This window comes from Homo sapiens, chromosome 12 (assembly GCF_000001405.40).
Source record: "Homo sapiens chromosome 12, GRCh38.p14 Primary Assembly".
NCBI classification, from domain to species: domain Eukaryota; kingdom Metazoa; phylum Chordata; class Mammalia; order Primates; family Hominidae; genus Homo; species Homo sapiens.
Window position 1 is genome coordinate 88,576,295 of NC_000012.12, and position 24,818 is coordinate 88,601,112.

A 24,818-nucleotide genomic window follows, 5' to 3' on the forward strand; every position below is an offset into this window, starting at 1 on the left:
TCTATAAACAGATATTAGCCTATCATGGGAGTCACCAAATCGACAGACGTAGATTTAGGAAAACTTGGTCTCTGTGCTTGGTTCATTAGGCATAATTTACCTGCAATAAGTCAGTTTTTCTCTGGCTTGTAAAAGTAGGCCAGCAGGCACTCTCTTCTCAGGAACAATAAATTCAAACTGTACATATAGTAAGCTACTATGCTGGTATAAAGACACATATAAAATTTCATTTAGTCCTTAAAACCACCATGCGAGAAAAATCTTTATAACTTTTATAATCATCATACAGATTACAAAAAACAGAAATCCCAAAAAGTTTAACAAATATTTGCCTAAGGTCATTTGTCTCATGAGTAGTAAAACAGGAATTAGAATCTAAGTCTTCAGAAGCTAGAACCTAGAATCCTTCTACCAACCATATTTTAGGTGTTTCTCATATATGCTCAGATATGGTTTATTCTCAGATATAAAGCGAAGGCCACATGTAGTGGAATTTGCCAATCCATGTAAAAAACCTCCAATACCCACACTTGCTATTTGAGTGAGAAATTTTTATGTGATTTATGGTGATGGAAACATTTCAGTCACCTATTATTAAAAAAAAAATGTGACCCAGAATTTGCTATCTTCAAATCAGCAGTTAGACGTAAATAAAATTTAGCAATTTTAATTGGTTTGGCCCAGACTTTCAGATTTCCATATGGTTATTTTCCTTGTTTTATGTTAAATGTAATCAACTTAGCACTTGGGTTTTAAAGTCTTGGCAGAATGTATCAATTAAAAGCTACATAAATTGGAATTATTCAAAGCATACATTCCAAATTGAGTGATCTTAAGGACAAGACTAAAAAAATGCTCTTTTCATAAGTATGTTAATTTTCTTCTACAAAGTAAACTTGCATCATCACCCACATGACAAACTTCATACAGACATAAAAGAGATATTTTCTTTGGAGTAGTGAAAATTAGCATTCTATTTGCTTATTCTCTGAGAGTTAGTATGCCTAAAATGGCCTTTTTTACATTGTTTGCAAGATCAATCTTTCTTATCTCAGTATTTCTGAAATTGACAGGAGTTATGACACTTCTCACAAACCATCCCCAAACTAAAATGTAAGCACAACATTGATAAATGTAACACCAGGCACATTAAGCTAATGGCACTTTTAACCAAATCTTAATCAGTGTTGCAAAATATGGTGCCTTGATTGTTATCCAATATGGTGTATCAGAATATTATGTTTAAAAAATAGTTACACATTGAAAGAGATGTTTTTTCTAAGCCCAAGCCACAAACACCTCTAGAAAACTGTAAAACCACACAATCTGAATAAAATAAAATCAAACAGAAATCTGAAAAATTCAAAAGACATTCATTTCTGTAGAACTGTGCTTAAATTTATTGCCTGTGTCATTATATTGGAAATACTGAAGTGTACCAACATGCTAAATGAATGAATCATTCATCAAACCCCAAGTGGTTGTTGATGGAATTTTCACACTTACTTAGCTTGACGGAAAGGCCAGAATACCTGGAGTCCCCATGATTCTTGGAGAGCTGTGTAATTCAAATCAAACCCCATTTTAAAATATTACTATAAATTTTTTTTATATGTGGGGTAGTAGGAGAGTACAGAACAAGTTGCTTTATAATAGAACCATGGTATTGATGCCATGTTTATAAATGACTATTTAAACTACTAAATATTAATAGATATTCTTCCCTGGTGAGGATAACATTAGAATCAGAACAATCGATCCTATTTCTTAATGTCCAATTTACATAGGCTACCTTCCATCCATGCAGCATTGCACAGAAAATGTCTTTGTAATTTTTGGATTAGAAAATTTAACAATATGAAAGATCTAATCCCCTCCTCCATTTCTGCAGATTATTTTATTGATTTTGGGCTATTTCCAGTGTCCCCTTTTTCAGTGACTGTGGAATCGCTAGAAGTATTCTTAAAAAAAACCTTGAAGGTCATTAGATCCTAGGCAATGAATGCCTTCATTCAACAAGGGTACTGCCCTCCTTTGCCTACAAGCCGTTTAACATCAGCAAGTTCCCCCAAAGGGCCTGCACTTTAACTTGTGTGATGTGTGACCGAACAGGTCACATATCTAAAATACTTAGCTTTCTCAAATTTCTCTGGTCGGCAGCACTGAGTCACTAATGCCACAGTCACAATGTTTCAGACTAGATTGACCTCTTTCTAGTTTTCAATGGAATTATTCCATGTAATCCGATTTACACAGCCATTTAATCAAAGCGAGAAAGGAGATTACAGAGCTCACATTTGTTTTGCAAAGCAAGGGTGCAAGGATAATCAATCCTACTGCCTCTCAAAGTGACTTGATAGTACATCCCCTGGCTTTGGAGTGTTGGACATTAACCTTATCTGTCTCCTGTGTTCTTGTTTAAATAGGAAGGTTTAGGCTCTTTTCCTGAACTAGAAGGTAGCAGCTTCTTCCCCCAGATCTCACCACCATCCATGGGAGCAGATGCTACTATAAGAAGGAATAGGTCTCTACCCTTCTTATAATTTCGCAGAAAGCTTGTCTAAATCAAGAGATTACAATAAAACTTTTCTTTTGTTGCAAGAATCTTTAACATTTGCATTTCGACAGCACGCTGTGGTGATTCCAGGTGCGGTGCTCAATGCCTTGCCTGAAAGCTAACCTGCTTGTAAGAGAGGGGAGAGGCACATCGCGTCTTTTCTCTTAGAGAGTGCTCTAGAGACTATGCAAGCCTCTTTTAGCCAGGCAATGTCCCTTTCCCCTGCCTTTTACCACACCGGTACAAGGGGCTAGAGTCTTGCAACTTTTTGCAGGCCTAGATATCTGTTTAAAATATGATGCTAAGCAGGTCATTTGATAAAGCATTTTGAGCACATTGATGCCTTCATTCTACACCAACGATGTGTACAAACACCCCGGTTTCCTTTTTCCCCACCACTTCCACCCCTTCCACACATTTCAGGAACTGCAATCTCCAACAGAACCTCTGGGGGGTGAAAGGGCAACCCTTAGCCAACCGCGGCAGATAACACATAACAATTTCTAAGGGGGAAAGTGAGAGGAGGTAACAATCAACAATGGTGAAGAGAACTGTGGATAGGGGCACCGTGGCGGCCCTTTCTAAACGAAGAACCAGGTATTTTCTTCAAGGGAAAAAAAAATCTAATTGTCCCCCCAGGCAGCGCTTTACCCACAGTGCTTTATGTATAATGCAGAATTTAGCAGCACTGGGAATTATCTCAATCACTATCATTCAGAGGTGCCTATTTTATAAAAAGCCTTTATCCCTTTTGAAATGGAAAAAGGTGCGTGCATTGTGGAGGTACTAGAGCTCTTTAGAGCCCACACAGAGCTGCAAACTAGGCAGACACCGCCGAGAGCCAAGTTTCCCGGGCAGGCGGGCAGGTTCCCGCCCCGCCGAGAGCTGCCGCTTAGGAGTTCCGCGTTGGCTTCGCTCCCGCGGCTGCACCCGCGTTCGCGCCGCTCCTGGTGCCCGGCGCCCACCTCGGGGCTACACAAATAAATCTGAGTGAGAGAGCTAGTGAGGGTGGCGCGTGGGGTGCTGTTTCATAATCTCCTGGAATCCACGGGAAAACCGTCTCCTATGCAAAGACATGCCTTCCCGTGATAACTTAACATTCCATGGCCCAAAAGCCAATCTTTCCACCAGACGGGAATTACGGTTTCCGACTGACAGCTCAAAACTTAACTGCTGAGGCTCCAAACTTGACACTGGCTCCCTCTCAGCACTCCCACTCCTTTTCTCCCTGGCTCACCCGGCTCGGCTCGGGATCACACACCACGCCGGCCTCCCCCGCATCCTCTTGTCTCACCCGGCAGGCACAGCCCTGCACGCCCCAGCTGCAAGTCCCAGGGAGCGCCGGCTTCCCCGGGGCACCGGGCGCGATTTTTCCTGGAGAGCCTGGGAGCTCCCGGGCGCGCCCTACTCACTTGTGTCTTCTTCATAAGGAAAGGCAGCGCTGCGATCCAGCACAAACAGTGGTGTGGCGACTCCGTTTAGCTGTTCTGGAGCTCCAGCATATTGCACGAACAGCGGCGGCAGATAGTCCACGCATTGGGTAGCCCGAGCGCAGCGCCCTCTCCACTGTCCCTGCTTCCCGCAGCGCTTCTAGTCTCGGCGCGAGGCGGCGAGCGAAGCCCGGCTGCTGAGCCGCCGGCGCTTTTATACAGTTCCCGCCCGCCTGCTCCGGACACGCCTCCTTCCCTTCCGGAGCCCGGGGTAGGCGAGAAGCAGGCAAGGGCGCGGAGGGAAGAATCGGGAGGGCGGCCAGAGCACGGTAAATGCCCCAGAAGTTTGGCAGATTAGGCCAACCTTGTCCGCTCGCCTGGGGGCCCCGGACCTGCACTGGCGGGAGACCGCGAAGGCGCGGGGACGCAGAGGGCGAAGCTTGGTACCCTGCAGCTACTGCTCGCGAGGAGTCCCAGCTTACCCTCCCGGATCCGCTGGGGCTCACCTGGCACCCCCGGGGACAGACGAAATACCTCGCGCGCCAGAGAGGGCTCGGAGCTCCCTCTGTTATACAAAGTCGGAGAGGGAGAGGAGTCCGGGAGGTTCGGAGCAAAGAATTCACCCTGCCTGCCTTAGAGAAATAAAGTTTAATTGCGATCTGTAGTTAGGCCATTGTCCTATCACCTCTATTTTTTAAAAAAAACAATTACTTTAGTGAATGAATATTTAATAATTACAAGAATTGTTGACTCAAGGTTAAGTATTGCAAGGGGAGACGCTTCATTTGGAATGGTTTGTTACTGTGTCTTTAGAAATTAAGATTGAAAGAGAAGCGATAGATTATTAAACTACAGGTCGCCAACACAGCAAGGCTTTGAAAGTTGTACTTTTTTGAACGGAAAGATAATGCAACCACAATAATAATAGCTAACATCATTATGTGATGCACTTATTCATGTGCCAGGTGCCAGACTAAGAACTTCGCATAGATTATCTCATTAAATTCTTTCATCAAATCTATTAGTGTAGATCTTATTATTTTATTCCCATTTTATGGACGATGAAATACAAGGTTAATTTTCTTGACCAACCATATCTAGTAAATGGCAGAGCTCTAATTTAAACCTGGAGCTCCAGCTGTACAGTCTTAAAAAATACTTCAAATATTTTATTGATTCTCCAGAATGTGTCTGTTTTTGTTTGTATAACTGGAGAACATTCCAAAGCATTTCATTAATTTTTTAAAAGAAAATATTAGCTGAACATTAACATCAGTGATCTTTAAAAGAAAGAATAATGTATGAGTTTAGGAATTAGTTATTTTAATAATAGAGTAGGAGTCCAAATTTGCTTTAATTAGTTCCGGTGCGTTTGTTAAACATGAATATGCCAAACCTGTAATCAGGGCGAAGCTTGTTTATTTCACTCCAGATGTGCTGACTTCTGTGATTTCCCCAAATGTGGGAAACTCGACTGCATAATTTAGTGGGGGACTGCGTTCTCACTTTCTCATGTTAGAAAAAATATGTATAGACAGCACATCAATCATGATTCCAAGTTGATAGTTGCTTAGAAAGATTTTTATACATTAGGTACTCTTAGTACAAATATATCGAACATCAAATATCAAAATGAGCTTAATTTGGATACTGGAGGCATAGCAAATGATTGTTTTTTTTTTCTTCAAGATTTATTTTTATTTTTTATTTTTTAGATGGAATCTCGCTCTGTCTCCCAGGCTGAAGTGCAATGACGCAATCTCGGCTCAATGCAGCCTCCGCCTCCCAGGTTTAAGCGATTATCCCGCCTCAGTCTCACAAGTAGCTGGGATTACAGGTGCCCACCACCACGCCCAGGTATTTTTGTTGTTGTTGTTGTTGTTTTAGTAGAGACGGGGTTTCACCATTTTGGCCAGGCTGGTCTCGAACTCCTGACCTCAGGTGATCCGCCTGCCTCAGCCTTCCAAAGTGCTGGGATTACAGGCGTGAGCCACTGCACCCGGCCCCTTTAAGGCTTTTTTGAAGTGGAGAATTTTATTTTTTTTCTCCAGCTTTATTAAGTTATATTTGACAAAAATAGTATCTATTTACCACGTACAATGTGATGTTCTGCTTATGTATACATTGTGAAATTATTAAATCAGGCTAAATAGTATATCCATCACCTCACATACTCATCATTTTTGGGAGCTGAGAGTATTTAACATCTACTCTTTGTAGTTTTGGAGTACCTCAGTATATTCAGGGGATTGATTCCTAGACCTTTCAGGTATACCAAAATCTACATATATTCAAGTCCCACAGTCAACCCTGCAGAACGTGCAGACACAAAAGTCAGCCCTGCTTATACATGGGTTTTACATCTCTAGAACACTGTATTTTCCATCTGAGTTTGAAAAAAAAATTGCATATAAGTAGACCCATACAGTTCAAACCTGTGTTGTTCAAGGGTTAACTGTATACAGTACATTAACTGTAGTTATCATGCTGTACAATAAATCTCCAGAACTTATTCATCCTGTCTAACTAAAACTTTGTACCCCTTTACCACCATTTTCCCCCCAAGAAAAGAAATATTTAGTGTCAATATAAACTCACTTTCATGTATAACATTAAGTAAATAACAAGTAGTACTAAAGGAGGACAGATACGACAAAAATAATCAAAATGGTATGAGAGTTACTGAAGCCTGGGAATCATAAATCTAACCATACGGATTTTATGAGACCAATAGAAAGGAATGGCCTAATTTGTTGTACCAGGTTTAAAGAAACAAGGCAGTGTTCCTAACAGAAATTCAGTTCAATTTCTTTTCATTCAACTCAATAATACATGCTACGTTCATCTCCTACAATGCATTCTCATTCTCCTCTCTCTTTCTCCCTCTTTCCATTTTTTTTCCCTCTCAGTTCTGTCTCCTCCTCCCACCTCCACCATTCCCTGGTTCTAGCTTTCTTAATATCACTGACTTTCTCATACGTAACTGTATCTTTTGTTTCCCTCATACTGCTGCATTACAGTTTTGTTGTGTAATAATGTTACTTGAATCAAGAGAATGTCGAAGCAAATATCCAAGGGATTAGAAAGAGCTAATATGCAAATGAAAGATTTTGGGTAGGCTTATATGGAAGTCACAAATGGGTCAGAATGACTGAGATCTCTCCTTAAGACTGGCTTTTGATAGGGGATGCAGGCCAGCATTCAGTTGATTCGCAGAAGAAAAACCAAGGAGTTCCTTTAAACTGAACAAGAGGCAGGGCTATGTCCCAGGTGGACAGGAGGGATGGGGGATGTTTTCTTATGGAAATAGCAGGCTACCATTATACAACTCAGGGAATTCAACATTTAACACACTGGGTAGAAAGTTATTTCATGATTATCTAATTTTTACTTGAATACTTTCAATACTATTCGTCACTCATGCTATTATTGATTAATCCAATTTTGAAAAGCTTTTTTCCTGAGCTTTATCGTTTTTGTTGTTAAGAGGCAGGTGTAATTTACCAAATAAGTCTTATCTTGCTTTGTGCATGTGAAATATCTCTTGTTCATTCACTATTTTGTGGATATCTTCTTTTAGACACACATATTGTTTTCAATATTTTTCTTTTAAAAAATGTCTCTCACAAACTGAAACTTATTGCCTGACCAAGCCAGACCGGAGACAGACTGTCTATATCTGTCTTTGAGTGACTAGAGGAGGGGGAAAAGGAGAAGAATGCCTCTTTGATCATGAAATTTCCTCTGCTGAAAGCTCTTTGGTGGCTTGCCATTGCTCTTGGAATAAAGAAATTAGCACCTTAGCAAAGCCTTCAAGGCCTCCAGGATCTCGCCTCTCCCTCCTTCTCCAAGGTCAATTCATTATGTGCTCCCTTTTTTCCAGGGCCAAGGCCCTTCTGTCCTCATAATTCTCACCTCAGGCCATTTGCAAATACCCTCCTTTCTGCCTCTGTTTGGACCACTTTGTTTCACCCTATCATTGTGCCCAGTAAGTATGCATTTATCATGTAGATCTCAACTCAGTATTCCCTATATTTTCTTCCTCAGGGAGGTTTTCCCTGATCTCTTTGCTTTGTTCAATTCTCCTCTTACTATAAAGTCGAGCATGAATTACCTATTTTTTATAAAACAACTGCAGTTTTGTATTTGTTTGTTTGACTATTTGGTTAAAGTAATTATGACTGCCCTTGCTCATTATTTTATTGTCAATATCTGTCACAGGGGAAAGAACAGAGCGAATCCCTTAAATATTGGTCAATTAGGTTGCTGTTGCCCATATAAGCCAGGAATTGGTCTAAGCCCTTAGTTTATATTCTGTCAATAACTTCTTATGACAATCATGTAAGAGAGGTAATTTTTAACTTTTCTACTTGATAAATAAGGAAACTGAGGATCAAAGAAGTATGGTGATTTGCTCAAGATCCCTCAATTGATAAATGGGAAAACCATGATCTAACCTAGACATATGGACTGTGGTTAGGAATTTTTTTTTGTCGGGGGGGGACAGAGCTTCACTCTTGTTGCCCAATCTGGAGTGCAATGGCATGATCTTGGCTCACGCAACCTCTGCCTCCCAGGTTCAAGCGATTCTCCTGCCTCAGCCTCCTGAGTAGCTGGGATTACAGACATGCACCACCATGCCTGACTAAGTTTTGTATTTTCAGTAGAGACGGGGTTTCTCCATGTTGCTCAGGCTGGTCTCGAACTGCTGACCTCAGGTGATCTGCCCGCCTTGGCCTCCCAAAGTGCTGGAATTACATGCGTGAGCCACCATGCCCGGCTTAGATTTTTTTTTTTTTTATTTGCTTAGCACACTTTCCTGTCACTCTTCTTCCATTATTAGCACTCACTTTCACTTAGAGAATTCAGACTATTCCTTATCTTTCAAGAGAGACTGTCATTCACATGGTTCTGTTTTCCCACCTCCTTCCACTATCGGAGATAGGCTTAGTACCCTGATCTGTCCAGTCCTGATTGGTGGAGGAATGGGTACATCACATGAGATGGGCCAATCAGAATCCACTGTGGGACTTTTGTGCTTGAGCTAATGGGGAACAGTATCTCCTTCCTATGGAGTTTCCAAACTACAAGAATGTGAAGTTCTCTTTGCCTATGTGAAGGCGTGTGATTTTACCAGCCTTGAAAATGATGAAATACATAATAAGTTCACAGAGTATTCTTTGAATAATATAATTTTTCTAGTATTCAGAAAACAACATCAAACTGATTTGTCTAGTTCAGGGTTTTTCTTGATTATGTAATAGGGGTTAGCAATATTGTGAAGGATAGTGTATTAGTCCACTTCCATTACTATAAAGGGATGCCTAAGACTGGGTAATTTTTAAGAAAAGAGGTTTATTTGGTTCACAGTTCTGCAGGATGTACAGGAAGGATGGTGCTGACATTTGCTTCTGGTGAGGCCTTAGGAAGCTTCCAATCCTGGAGGAGGGTAAAGCAGAAGCAGGTGTGTCAGATGGCAGGAGAGAGCACAACAGAGTGAGTGGGGGAGGAAGTCCCAGATCTTAAACAACCAGATCTTTCATGAACTACCTGAGCAAGAACTCACTCATTACCAAAGGCATGGTGCTAAACCATTCATGAGGGGACCACCCCCATGATACAATCACCTCCTATCAGGCCCCACCTCCAACAATGGGAATTACATTTCAACATGAGATTTGGAGGGAGATTATGAGAAACCATATAATTCTGCTTTCGGCCACCCAAATCTCATGTCCTTCTCTCATTTCAAAACACAATCATGCTTTCACAATAGTCCCCCAAGGTGTAAACTCATAAGTTCCAAGTCCCAAGTCCAACGTCTCATCTGGAGATGAGTTCCTTCCACCTATCAGCCTGTAAGATAAAAAATAAGTAATTTACTCCCAAGATGTAACAATAAATAATACAGGCATTGGGTATATGTTCCCATTCCAACAGGGAGAAATTGGCCAAAAGAAAGGAGCTACAGGCCCAATGCAAGTTTGAAACCCAGCAGGGCAGTAATTCAATCTGAAGGCTCCAAATGATCTTCTTTGACTCCTTAGGACCCACATCCAGGGCACACTGGTGCAAGGGCTCCCAAGGTCTTGGGCAGTTCTGCCCTTGTAGCTTTGTGGATGCAGCCCCTGTGCATGCTCTCATGGGTTGGAGTTGAGTGCCTGAGGCTTTGCAGGTTCAGGATGCAAGCTGCTTTTAGATCTACCATTCTTGGGTCTGAAGGATGGTGGCCTCCTTCCCACAGCTCCACTAGGCAGTGACCTAGTAGGGGATCTGTTTACGGTCTTCAACCCTACATTTTTACTCTACACTGTCCTAGTAAAGGCTTCCTATGAGGGCTCCACCCTTGCAGGAGGCTTCTGCCTGGTCACCCAGGCTTTCTTGCATGTTCTCTGAAATCTGGGAGGGAGCTGCCAAGCCTCCTTCACTCTTGCATTCCATGCACCTGCAGGTTTAACACCATGTGGAAGCAACCAAGGCTTACGGTGCCTTATGGTCTCCAAAGCAGTATCTGGGGCCCTTTGAGCTGATTCCAGAGCCAGAGCAACCAGAATGTGGGGAGCAGTGACCTAAGGCTGCACAGGGCAGTGAGGCCCTTGGCTTGGCCTCCAAATCCACTTGTTTTTCTTAGGCTTCTGGGCTTATGATGGGAGGGAGTTCCTCACAGACTTCTGAAATGACTTTGAGGCTTTTTTCTCATTATCTTGGATATTAGCTCTTAGCTCCTTTTTAGTTATGCTAATCTCTCTAGCAAGTGGCCACTCCAAAGCCTGCTTGTATTGTGTCCTGAAAATGACTTTTCCTGTTCTATCAATGGACAAGCTGCAAAATATCCAAACTTTTTTGACTCTGCTTCCCTTTTAAATGTAAGTTCTAACTTTAAGTTCTTTCTTTGCTCCTGCATCTGAGTATAGATTGTTAGAAGCAGCCAGGCCACATCTTGAACACTTGCTGCTTAGAAATTTCTTCCACCATATATCCTAAGTCATGACTCTTCAATTCAAAATTCTACAAATCTCTAGGGCATGAACACAAAGCAGCCAAGTTCTTTGATAGGGCATAACACGGGTGACCTTCACTCCAGTTCCCAATAATTTCCTCATTTCCACCTGAGACCTCCTTAGCCTGACCTTCACTATTCATATTTCTATCAGCGTTTTGGTCACTACTGTTTAACCATTCTCAAAGAAGTTCCATATTTTCCCTTATCTTCTTGTCTTCTTCTGAGTGCTCCAAATTCATCCAGCCTCTGCCTGTTACCAGTTCCAAAGCTACTTCCACATTTTCAAGTACCTTTATAGCAAAATCCCACTCCCTAGTACAAATTTTCTGTGTTAGTCTGTGTTACTATGAAGGAATACCTGATACTGGTTAGCTTATATAAATAAAAAGAGGTTTAATTGGCTCAGAGTTCTACAGAATGTACAGGAAGTGTGGTACTGAAATCTGCTTCTGGTGAGGACCCAAGAAGCTTACAATCATGGTGAATGGTTAAGGGAAACAGATGTATCACATAGCAAGAGAGAGCAACCAAGCAAGTAGAAGGAGGTTCCAGACTTTTAAACAACCAGATCTTGCATGAATTAATTGAGCAAGAACTCACTCATCACCAAGGAGTTGGTGCTAAAAATCTTAATATGATTTTTAAGCTGGGATCCACCCAGATCATTTGGGATCCACCCAGATGATCCAATCACCTCCCACCAGACCCCACCTCCAACACTGGGAATCATAGTTCAACATGAGATTTACAAGGGACAAAACATCCAAACCACATCAGATAGTAAATACTTACATTGTTGGTGGTTGGCTTTTTTCCCCCTTTATTCTATGCCTAAAAATTAATTGTATGATCAATTTAAAAATCAACAGTAAATAATTACATTCCTGAAAAAAGTTGAGCTTGTATAATAACTCATCTTAGAAATTTTTATTTTTTTATCCCTCTTGTGAACCTCTAGAAATATTCATATTAACTCAGAATGTTCTGTTTAGTCTTATCAATAAACATTAATTACATATTAAATGGAATTTGTTTGACAAAAAATAAAAAAAGCATGAGTGTCCCTGGAGATAATTATGATATGGATAAGTAATTATAGTTCATATCTATCAAATAATCAAGAAGCAAGCTCAGCTACTCACTGCTTGTAACAAGCATGAAGTGCAGTGGAAGGAAAATTACTTTATTCCAGGGCTTGCAGTGAGGAAATGACCAAGGCTAGTGCCTTAAAGAAACCATTTCAAACTTTAGGGTGGGGAGAGGGGCTTAAAAAGGGAACTTGGAATGGGAGGCATGCTGGAGTGGCACTGGGTACAAGGTCTGTGTGTTTTGTACTAGTGGCTATCTTGAGTTACGGTTCGCCTAGAGTACGGGCTGGCATCATCTCAACAATGGTGGGGTTGTTGACTAACTACCTTGAGGTAATCTCTGGAATTTTGTGTCTGGGTCTTCATGCCTGGTCTGTCTCAAAATTAGCTTCTGGAACTTCTAAGTAAGCACAACTTCTAAGTGTGCATGGTGTAAGTTTAACAAGTATACAGTTAGATAAATGTTCATAGGATCAAGGAAGTGTGTGATGAGAGAGGGACATAGCATTCCAAAGAACACTTCAAGGCTATAATTTAAGACTAGGGAGAAAAAAAGAAGGTTTCTGCAGTTTGCCTCAAGGTTACATGTGGAGAGTAGGGGGAAAGGAGAAAAAGGAAAGAAGAAAAAGACAATTCTCAAAAGAAGAGATACAAACTGCCAACAAACATGAAAAATGCTCAACATCACTAATTAACATGGAAATGAAAATTAAAGCCACAATGAGATATCACCTCACTCCTGCAAGAATGACCATAGTTAAAAAAATCAAAACATAATAGACGTTGGTGTGAATGTGTAAAAGGGAACACCACACTGCTGGTGGAAATGTAAAGTAGTACAACCGCTATGGAAAACAGTATGGAATTTCCTTAAAGAAGGAAGAGCAGAATTACCATTTGATCCAGCAATCTCACTACTGGGTATCTACCCACAGGGCACTTGCATATGCATGTTTATAGCAGCACAATTAGCAATTGCAAAAATATGGAACCAGCCTAAATGCCCATCAACCAATGAGTAGATAAAGAAAATGTGTTATATATACATCATGGAATACTGCTCAGCCCTAAAAAAATGAAATAATGGCATTTGCAGCAACCTGGATAGAGTTGGAGACCATTATTCTAAGTGAAGTAACTCAAGAATGGAAAACCAAGTATTGTATGTTCTCACTTACAAGTGTGATCTAAGCTGTAAGAATGCAAAGGCACAGAATGATATAATAAACTTTGGGGACTTGAAGACAAGAGTGGGAGGGGGTGAGAAAAGACCACACGTTGGGTATAGTGTACACTGCTCGGGGGCAGGTGCAACAAAATCTCAGAAATTACCACCAAAGAACTTATCCATGTAACCAAAAAACACTTGTTCCCCTAAAACTATTGAAATTTAAAAAGAAAAGAAAAGAAAATCTTTAATGTATTTTGAAGCTAAAGTGCTCATTACAGTATTGGCTATCACAATCCAATGAGAGAACGAGATTGCCAAGAACATCTAAAGGAATAAACTTATTTACACATTCTAGTAGCAACTTGAGGGAAAATAAATCCAGTGGATCTTAGAGATAGGATTTCCTGGTATATTTCAAAAGTACAAATTCAGCTTTGCAGAGAGAACTTCAATCATTTATTCATTAGTCCCCTTGTTCGGCAAATATTTGTTAATACTTCCAGATGATACTATTTCCTTCAAAGCACATGATTAATAATTAATATTTAAATAATAACTGATTTTCTCTTTTATTGTTTAATAATTTCATCCAAAACATATTATTTATTTATTTTGTCACTGCCCTACTTTAGAGTCTCCTGAATCTCACCTAAACCATTCACCAATGGTCTTCCTATCCTTGGTCTTCTATTACTACAGTCCATTTCAACATTGCTGCAAAGTTACAGCTGCACATGTAAAAATCTGGTCATGCCACTTTTCTGTCTGTCATAGTATTTTTACCCTTGGTACCTAGAGAATAAAATCCAGGGCTCCTTACAATTTGGCCACAATATTTATCATTCTCTATGTTCATCTGTTATCTACCTCCTTCCAAATAACCATATTGAACTTCTCAACATTTTCTCTTTGACACCTTTATTCCTCTGCTACATTGTTCCTTTAACATGGAGTAGCTTTTCCTCCATTTTCTGCCCGAAATCTCTTTTTCATCATTCAAAGCCTGGTTCAAATATCACTGTCTCTTTGAAGCAGAGTGGTTGCTCATTCCTTACAATCTTAGGTTTACTGTTAACGGGAAAATTAATTTGTAGTACATGAGCCTCCACTCAGTGAAAGAGAAGCTGTTGCTCAAAACGTGCTGAGTAAAAGAGTAAAACGAGTTGTAGAAATGTGATGGGAACATTCTAGAGAGAGAATACACATATAGGACTTGATAAAAGTCCTATATGTGTATTCTTTTTTTGCAATTAAAAGTTTTATTAACATAAATATTTGCGACTCAAATTTAGAAACTAGAGAAAATTTAGAGATTTTTAGGAACTATGAGTTTGTGAGTTATTTCATGAACACAGGTTTTAAGACTAGAAGAAAATTTTGCTAAAAGGTAGTTTACACAATTAATCTGCAGATGATGAAATTGAGGTTACAGAGAGGCTAATTTATGATAGAATGAGGAGTAGAACCCACATCTTCAGACTTGACTTACGCAAAACCTTCTGGTTAGTCCAGAAGCAGTACTTCCAAGGAATCAAGATCAAAGAGTAAATATTCTAGTGCTGTTTATAGTAAAGAGTGACTTATTGTTAAGGAGACAGTGGTTTTAAGATTATTCAGAAAGGAATTTCTAGAGAAGAAGAAAAGGTGGAATTGATTTTCTAAATGATATGTATTTCTATGAATATACTTTTTTATATTCCATATTACCAGAATATAGGAGACTGTTGAATACATACATTTTAGATGCTCAAATATAATGTAATACCACAATTTTGATAAATTTTACCACAGGTCCCTCTTCTTCATAACCACTTAAAAATCTATCATATAATCGTACATTTCGGCATCATTTCAGTTTATGGCTTTTTCTATGTCTCATAACTTTTATTTGTACTAGATAAATTAGTTTAGGTTGGTGGTTTTGGCAGCAATGTTATTCTTTTTGGTTATTTGATCTTAAAAAAGATTTGTGGCTTCAACTGTGGCAATGTTGTTTTTCATATTCTACTTTTGAAACATGTGTCCTCCAGTGAATCATTTAAATGAGAAGTTCCTAGGGTATGGCTTATTTCTTAACTGACAAGTTTGTTTTGCATCACTCTTGAAATGACAAAGTTAATAAAGGGTGTAGGTATATAGACAAAAGCAATGTTTTGGAAAGTTTTGTCACAAGATGCAATGCAACTCCCATGGTGTATTTTCCTGTGAAAACTATAAACAGGGAATACTGAGAAGCTATCAAACATTTGGGACTTTCTTCTTTCTGTCTTTTTAGGGGTTGGGGTGGATAGGGAATGAATTTGACATGAAGTCAACTAGGTAACAGATAACTTTTACCATTTTGGGTTCCACAGTCCGAAACAGGCATTGTAATATTTCTTTTCTTTTTTCTTTTTGTGGATGTGCAACTTAGACAAGTTGTAGATTTTTCATATCTCCTTTCAACATCATCAGACCACTTATCAAGTTTGCATAAAATACATTTGTTAACAATGTACCTCATTGTCTGAGTTTTCTCTCAGCTAGAAACTGACTGCAGTGACCCCCATCTTCACAGGTTATGGGGATCTTAATCAGTTTTCAACCTATTTCCCAGAGGCCTTGAGGGTAGAGATGGCTTTTGGAATTTAGAGTTCCAAACTTAGACTGGTTAGTAAACCCCAGGCATTGTCATCATTGGCCGCATACACTACCCGCCCTCACCTATTTGTTTTTTTCTTTATTTTTGTTGGCAAATGCCAGACACTAATTTTCTTATTCTGAAAACTATACCCAAGGTGAGACACAGATTAAAGAAGATGCTCATTTTCATAACCTCTGAATTTTTAAATATGTTTCCTTTATTGTTTATTAAAAAATGCATTCTTGGCCAGGCACGGTGTCTCATGCCTGTAATCTCAGCACTTTGGGAGGCCAAGGCAGGTGGATCATGAGGTCAGGAGATCGAGACCATCCTGGCTAACATGGTGAAACCCCGTCTCTACTAAAAATACAAAAAAAAAAAAAAAATTAGCCGGGAGTGGTGGCATGCCCCTGTAGTCCCAGCTACTCGGGAGGCTGAGGCAGGAAAATCACTTGAACCTGGGAGGTGGAGGTTGCAGAGAGCCGAGACTGTGCCACTGCACTCCAGCCTGGGTGACAGAGCAAGACTCCATCTCAAAAAAAAAAAAAAAAAAAAAAGCAAAAATGCATTCTTAAATTGGATTGATTAATGCCATGATAGCTTTCATTTACCTTAAAATATGCAGTGTGGTATTGTGTGTTTGCTATTTGAGTGAGGCTACATCCCACATGCTAAGAGCATTCTATTCAAGAATTTGAGTCCACAGCTGACCAGCAGGCTTTCTTTCTTTTTTTTATTATACTTTAAGTTTTAGGGTACATGTGCACAACGTGCAGGTTTGTTACATATGTATACGTGCCATGTTGGTGTGCTGCACCCATTAACTCGTCATTTAACATTAGGTATATCTCCTAATGCTATCCCTCCCCTCTCCCCCTACCCCACAACAGGCCCCGGTGTGTGATGTTCCCCTCCCTGTGTCCATGTGTTCTCATTGTTCAATTCCCACCTGTGAGTGAGAACATGCGGTGTTTGGTTTTTTGTCCTTGTGATAGTTTGCTGAGAATGATGGTTTCCAGCTTCATCCATGTCCCTACAAAGGACATGAACTCATCATTTTTTATGGCTGCATAGTATTCCATGGTGTATATGTGCCACATTTTCTTAATCCAGTCTATCATTGTTGGATATTTGGGTTGGTTCCAAGTCTTTGCTATTGTGAATAGTGCCACAATAAACATACGTGTGCATGTGTCTTTATAGCAGCATGATTTATAATCTTTTGGGTATATACCCAGTAATGGGATAGCTGACCAGCAGGCTTTCTAATGAGGAGTTCCATGCTTGATATGGTTCGGCTGTGTTCCCACTCAAAACTCATGTTGAATTGTAGTTCCCATAAACCTCACATGTTGTGGGAGGGACCCAGTGGGAGGTAATTGAGCCATGGGGTCAGTTACCCCCATGCTGCTATTATCGTGATAGTGAGTGACTTCTCACGAGATGGTTTTATTAGGGGCTTTTTCCCTTTTGCTGGGCACTTCTCCTTGCTGCCATCATGTGAAGAATGACATGTTTGCTTCCCCTCCCACCATGATTGTAAGTTTCCTGAAGCCTCCCCAGCCATGCTGAACTGTGAGTCAATTAGACCTCTTTCCTTTATAAATTGCCAGTCTCGGGTATGTCTTTATTAGCAGCATAAGAAAGGGTTATGGAATTTAGAGATCCAAACTTTAGCAGGTACTGATACAAGCACTTGTATTACCCATATGTAGCTTATCCATAGATGTTGGAAATATGTTCAAAATAAGAATGTTATTAATAGATATTATTCATGAATAGCATACTATATGGAAAAATGGTTTTTTAGAGGTGAAAATAGTGGCTGACTGATCAGCATCATTAATGTAAAAAGAGAGCTCTAATTGGTAAGATTAAAGTTCTTAAGAACATGTGGATTGGTTAAACTTCTTTTAGAGACATAAACATGATCAGGGTATAAGAATCCAAGGAGGCCTGAAGCTTGTAGCAGTAGAAATGATGCTAAGGACGTGAGCCCTAAACAAACTGGTTCTAGCCATTGACTGAGAGAAATACAAACTCTAATGATATGTTTGTATTCAGTGAATTTTTCACTTAAGATGTTAAAGGGAGCACTTAACTGTACCAAGAACTAGGACTTACTCAAGCTTTAAATAATATTTTGTGTGACCTGACTTGTGTCCACTTGTCAATGTGTTGGTTAGTCATATCTACATTTGTGAGAGAATTTGATCTGTGATTTACTTTCTCTGTGGTCTGGTAGCCAAATAATCTATGTAAATAACCTAAGAAGTATGCATACTAAATAGACTTAAGATCAGTTCATAATTGTTTAGGGAGCATTTACCAAGCACTAAGTACTTTCCATATATTGTTTAATCTTTACTATGTTCTCTACAATAGTCCTCACAACACTCCTAAGAATGCTATTGTTGCTTGTTTTGGTTTTGGTTTTTGGTAAGCTCACTGTGAATAATCTGGTGCTTATCATTGTCATTATTTAGAGAAAGGGAAAAAAGACGATCAAATCCATCTATGAGATGGGTATAATTACCCTGTTTTGCAGATGAGGAAACTAAGTCACAGGGGTAGTTAAGTGGCTACTCTAGGTCACAGAGCTAGAAAGTGGCCAATTTTGGATTCAACTGGTGTTTGAGTAACTCTAAAAATCCACTCTTTTAACCATGATATTTTAGTGTATCCCTTAATAATACTTTGTTGTTAAATAGGAACATTTATGGGCTAGGAAGTGAGTTAAACATTTCTGATAATACAGTGTAGTATTTACATTGCAGAGTTTCCTTATGTAGTCAAAAGGTAAAAAAGTAACTTGTCTCGTCCTAGGGCATGCTGGATAGCTACCCGGACTACAGGATAATTAGACAGCTTTCAAAGGAGTACTCACAGCTTGGAAAATGTCCTTAAGGATTTTGATTCAATGACTGATTTCATGACAATGAAGGGCTCCGAAAGCGGAACAAGGTTCCTTTATATAGAGTAAAGGAAATAGTTAGGCTAGCACTAGACCTTTTTGGTGCAGACATTAGAAGCTGAAGATTATCTGTACTGATTTTCCCCCTAATCCCCATTATTGGGTTTCTGGTTACCAACCTTAGTATAGCTTGTACAATATCATCTCTGTAACCTTTGTGTTGGTTTATCTTGATCAACTGTCAGTGCAAAGTGAGAAGCTGCCTTTCATCTGGTTTCCAATGGTGTTAACTAGAAAAAGAGAAACTAAAAAGTTTGCGTTGAGCAGAAATATGTAGTCAAGGTATTAAAGCACTAACAGTGAACCTAAAAAAGGTATTTGAAGAAAGAAGGATTCCTGGAGAGAAGTTTCACTAAAAAATAGCCTACACTGTAGGACATTGCGAACAAAGAGAGTTGGCTAAAATCTGGATTATTTGCAATGGTACAAAGTTTTTCTATTTGAACTTCAATGAAAAGTTTTTTGTCAATTTATCCTTGCACTGAAACTGTCCACTTAAATCTAATGCATCAAAGATCTGGCATTGTTAAGGAAGAAATCCTTGAACTCTAAGCAGGCCTGGCAAAAAAAAAAAAAAAAAAAAAAGATAATGGTACATCAATCTTCCTCTCTGGAAAAAATGAATAACTAAAGCCAGTTTGACTTTTGGAGTCCAGTTAAATCAGTTAGAAGAATAGAGAAAGAGCTTTCTAGCCAAGGAGGGAGGAGAAAGTGAACAAGGAAGTTGTAAAACACAGTATGATTATTTTACAATGGTTTATTAAATGAAAGGAGGTAGCACTTTTCTTATCTAACATAGATCATTTTACACTGTGCCATAGTAGAAATAACATCAGCTTTGTGATACACAGACCTCAGTTTAAGGCCTGGCTCCACCACTTTCTGCCTGGGAAATTCATAGCAGCTTCTTAACTCCCAATACTTGCCTCACAGTAGTATTGGGGCCTGTGTGTGACAGTAACCTTCTGTTTGACTTTGGCCAACTTAACCCCAATGCCTCAGAGGCTTCATCTCTTAAATGGGAATAATAATGCTTCATCACTCCATTCTAGAACTTTTTCCTGCGCATGGGGACAAAACATACAGAACTAATATTCCTAGTGGTTTTTGTTCTCTCAAATGAGGATAATGATGATGACTACCAATAGTGGCATTTTGAAGGTTAAGCGTTAGTGTATTAAAGGTCCCTAATTCTTAAGCAGACAATAAATGCTGCATAATAAGCATGCAGTAAATATTAGAGCTACATTATTAAATTCATACAAGATCTATTGGTGGCATTAACTTAGTACTTACTTTTATAGAGAAAAATATATGCCACAGCAGACAACATACAGGACTATCATCTCATATCTGAATTGTGCTCGTGATTGTTCAAAGCATAATCACATTCTAATGGAGAAGGGCATGCATACATCACAATTCTCACCTTCCAGAAAAGGAGGATGAGATCCAAAGAACTTTAGTGATATTAACCAGAGATGATGTAATTTTAAATAGGGAAGTCAGGGCTGGAATCTGAATTCCTGAATCCTGTCTTAGTGATCTTCCCATTACTCCATTTATTTTTATTTTTATTTTTATTTATTTATTTATTTTGCTGTTCTATAGGTCTGGCATACTTTTCTAGAAATCCTTTGTTAGAGTAAACTATAAGAAGAAGAAATATGCAATCAAATGGCCTTTCATCTTATGAGTTTATGATGCATTGCTATCCTGAGTTTATTGTTTCAGTTTTTTGAATGTGAAAAAAGATAAATTCTCTGTAACATTCAAAGAGGAACAGAGAAAACACACTTGTGCTAAATTGAGTGGACTCGTGCCATTATCAGTTGTGAGCTTTGAACTGATTTCAGACGCATGAAAGTTGAAAATTAACAAAATGCTTTGCTTTTTTCAAAAAAAGACTGAAATTTTAAAAAATAACAAATCAAATTTATCCACTCTAAGTTACTACAGAAAGATAAATATTTTGATCAATAAAACAAATTGGAATATCAACAAAATTATTAAATATTCTGTGAAACATGTCTATTTAGAATAGAGTAATTGGTTACTGAGTCTTTATTGTTTAAAAGTGTTGGGTTTATAGAATTAAGCCTGAACTGACTTTGATTCCTCAATATAGTTTATTTTACCTACCCAGTTAAGTACTTTAATATTTGAGAAATTTTTTTTCTTTGCAATATCAAAATACTTTTAGAAAGTAACAGAAATTTACAGCATTGTGTAAATGTAATATTTATCTATTTTATTTCAGTCCAGCTGAATTTAACCTACACTATCATTAAGAGTCTACACCACCAGGCATGATGCTTTCCCCAGATAACTACAGTCTCTGCCTTTGAGGAATCCAATGTCTGAGCTTTATGGCAATAAAAGCTTATAGTTGCTATCATTCATTAACCTCTTGCAATGTATGAGCCACTCTGCCAAGAGTTTTGTACATGTTTTCTGATTTAATCCCATTGTCCAAGGTTCTGGAGACAGTGTTTTATTAACCTAGTTTATAGATGAGGGAACAGTGGCTTAGAATAAGGAACTTATCCTGAGATACTCACCTCATCAATGGTTTAATCTATCTGATATGGTTTGGCTGTGTCTCCACCCAAATCTCAACTTGAATTGTAGCTGTCAGAATTCCCACGTGTTGTGAGAGGGACCCAGAGGGAGGTAATTGAATCATGGGGGCTGGTCTTTCTCATGCTATTCTTGTGATAGTGAATAAGTCTCACGAGATCTGATGAGCTTATCAGGGGTTTCTGCTCTTTCTTCCTCCTTGTTTTTTCGTGCTGCCACCATGTAAGAAGTGCATTTTGCCTCCTGCCATGATTCTGAGGCCTCCCCAGCCCTGTGAAACTGTAAGTCCAATTAAACCTCTTTTTCTTCCCAGTCTGAGGTATGTCTTTATCAGCATCATGAAAACGGACTAATATACTATTCTTAATTGATATGCCCGCACAAATATAGAGACACATAGCAACATATATACACAAAATGCAAACAAAATTGCTTGCAGCTTTAAGTAGATCTAAGTATACTTTTCCTTCTTCAGTGGGAACAAAGGTGTTGTAATTGTTGTTTCTACCTACAGGTTATGCTTCAACATTGATTACGTGATAGTAGCATTGCCGTTGTGCAGAGAAGGCAATGCATTAATAATCATAGAGGGGTACAAAAGTCCATCATGGCTAGTAACTCAAATCTCAAATGCTCTGACCTTGACCCTATAGCCTCAATTTTTCTTAAAAAAAGATTATAACCAAAATTATATTTAAACTTTAGGTTGACTTAAAGGTCTTTAATTATTTTTAATGTTTTAAGATCATTAAAGATCCTTGTCAATCTAAAGTATATTAAAGATAATAAAACTTCTCATCTTAACTCTTATCTTGTGCTTTTTCTAGGAAACTGAAGTAATAAGAAATGCTTTGAATATACTCAGAACTGTATCTTATAAAAGGATCACAAACACACAATGCCAGAAGACCTTAGACAAGAGTGTATGAAGGGCACAAATGTAGGAGAGAAATTAGTGAAGACATAGTACTTTAAAAATAATAGACTTTCCCCCTTTTTATTTAAATTTTTGTAAGCAAAAACTTATGATAGAATATTTAGAAACATATTAGAGATACATAATTTCATCCTTATTTATTTATTCATTTATTTTTAAGACAGAGTCTTGCTCTGTCGCCCAGGCTGGAGTGCAATGGCCTGATCATGGCTCACTGCAACCTCTACATCCTGGTCTCAAATGATTCTCATGCCTCAACCTCCCAAGTAGCTGGGACTACAGGCATGTGCCACCATGTCTGACTAACTTTTTATTTCTTTGTAGAGATGGGGTTTCGCCAGGCTGGTCTCAAACTCCTGGACTCAAATGATCTGCATGACTTTTCCTCCCAAAGTGCTGAGATTACAGGTGAAAGCCACCATGCTAGGCCTCATTCATGCATTTAAATAGTAAATGGAGTGATTGTATTCTAAATTTGCTAGGGCTTCTATAACAAAGTAACGCAGACTGGGTGGCTTGAGTAACAGAAATTTATTTTCTCACATTCTGGAGGATGGAAGTCCAAGATCAAAGTGCCAGCAGAGTGGTTTTGTCTTCCTTGGTTTGTAGATGGCCATCCTCTTGCTGCCTCATCACACTGTGTCTGTGCACACCTGGGGGCTCTCCGTGTATCTAAATTTCCACTTCTTATAAGAAAACCAGTCAGAATGGAATAAAGTCTTCCTCTATGACCTCATTTTAACTTATTACCTCATGCCCTATCTCCAAATACAGTCACATTCTGAGTTACTGGGTGTTAGGGTTTAAACACATGAACCTGGATGAGGGGACACAATTCAGCCTATAGAAGTGACTTTAATTGCGAAGAGCTTAGAGTTTCTTTAAATCTAGAATCTAGTGCAACTTCTTCAAAATTTTCACTCTATATAAATTAACCATGATCTAATTTGCTAATAAAATGCATTTATTTATTAAAATGACATTCCTGAATTAGCTTTATAGGACAATATACACACATGTGTACATATTTGAGTATATATACATGCATACATACACTAAACATATATGTTAGAGTATTGGAGAGACAGCAAGGCAGTATGGTTATGGCTACGTGTTATTCATCCACACATTTACAACCAAAAGTATAGGTTTATTTATTGACCAATTAGATATGGCCAAATGAATAACCAAAATAGTACATTTTCATCATGCTGAAATCTTTCCTTTTAAAAATGCACTTGACTAAGTTTCTCTTTTAGATTAACCTACAATTTTATTTCTACATTCAGCTTCATTTTTGGAAACATTTGAATAGACTAAAATAAATTATTTGCAGTTGTACTGTGAGTTCAAAGTAATCTCAAGTACGTTAAGACCTCCCATTGTTGTGGATCATATTTTCCAAAAATGGCTACAACAATATTCCTAGTCCGACAGACCCTTGTAACTTTCCAGCCAAGAGTAGTTTATCTCTCCTCTAGACACAGTTTTTAAAACTTGATGGACCTTTGTGAATGCTTGAACAAATAGAATGCAGCAGAAGCGATATTATGGGATTTCGGAGAACATGTCATAAAAAAATATATAGTCTCTCTCTCACTTTCTTTTTCTCCATCTCTCATTCTGGAACCCTGAGCAACTATGTAAGAAGTCTGGCTGCCATGATGCCACCATGCTGGAGGGACCACATGGACATACCATGAAGATATATAGAGAAATGCTTTAGAAACCTCAGCTGTTCCGTCTTTCAGCTATTTGAGTCTTCCTAGGCCAAGGGCCAGATATATAAACAAAGAAGACTTGATGGTGACTCCAGCCTTAGTCAACGTCTAACTGCAACCACGTGAGAGACTTTCAACCAGAACTATGCAGTGGAGCTGCTTCTGAACTCCTGACCCATAGAAACCATGAATGATAATAAATGATTGCTGTTTTCCTTAAATGTTTGGTCGCATTTCTCAGTGAAATCATCTGTGCCTAGAATTTTCTTTCTAGAAAAGTTTCAAACTCCAAATTCAATTCTTAATTGAATTTTATATCTGTATATCTATAGACATATACAAATATCTGTATATCAACAAGATAATTCGGATAATTCAGGTTATCTGCTTCTTTTAGAATATGCATTGGGAGTTTGTGTTTGTTAAGGAATGTGTCTGGTTCATTCAAATTGTCGAATTTATAGGCATAAGTTTCTTCTCAATATTTCTTCACTAGTCTCTAGATATCTACAAGATCTGTAGTGATGTTATTACTCTCATTCCTGATACTAGTAATTTGTGTCTTCTCTTTTCTCTTGGTAGCTCTGGCTGGTGGTTTATTAATTTTACTGATCTTTTCAAAGAATCCAGATTTTGATGTTAATGCTTTTTTTCTACTATTGTTTGTTTTCTTTTTCATTGATGTCTGTTCTTGTCTTTATTACTTCCTTTTTTGGCTTTCTTTGGGTTTAGTT

At 38.7% G+C, this 24,818-nt stretch overlaps 1 protein-coding gene, 1 long non-coding RNA gene and 1 pseudogene across 3 annotated transcripts in view; 2 read left to right on the forward strand and 1 right to left on the reverse strand.

Annotated features, from left to right (window-relative positions):
• KITLG (KIT ligand) overlaps positions 1–4,177 on the reverse strand; it is an 87,679-nt gene extending 83,502 nt beyond the window's left edge. For both annotated transcript variants that reach the window (NM_003994.6, NM_000899.5), the window contains exon 1: positions 3,970–4,177. In NM_003994.6, the coding sequence (NP_003985.2) occupies positions 3,970–3,984 (15 nt within the window). In that variant the 5' untranslated portion in view covers positions 3,985–4,177. The remainder of the gene's footprint in view (positions 1–3,969) is intronic.
• LOC105369885 (uncharacterized) lies at positions 4,242–24,305 on the forward strand. The gene is made up of 4 exons (NR_188177.1): positions 4,242–4,316; positions 5,703–5,844; positions 21,654–21,707; positions 23,952–24,305. It is a non-coding gene; the product is annotated as an uncharacterized LOC105369885 (long non-coding RNA).
• RNU1-117P (RNA, U1 small nuclear 117, pseudogene) lies at positions 5,391–5,502 on the forward strand (annotated as a pseudogene).
• Positions 24,306–24,818: the final 513 nt, after the last annotated feature.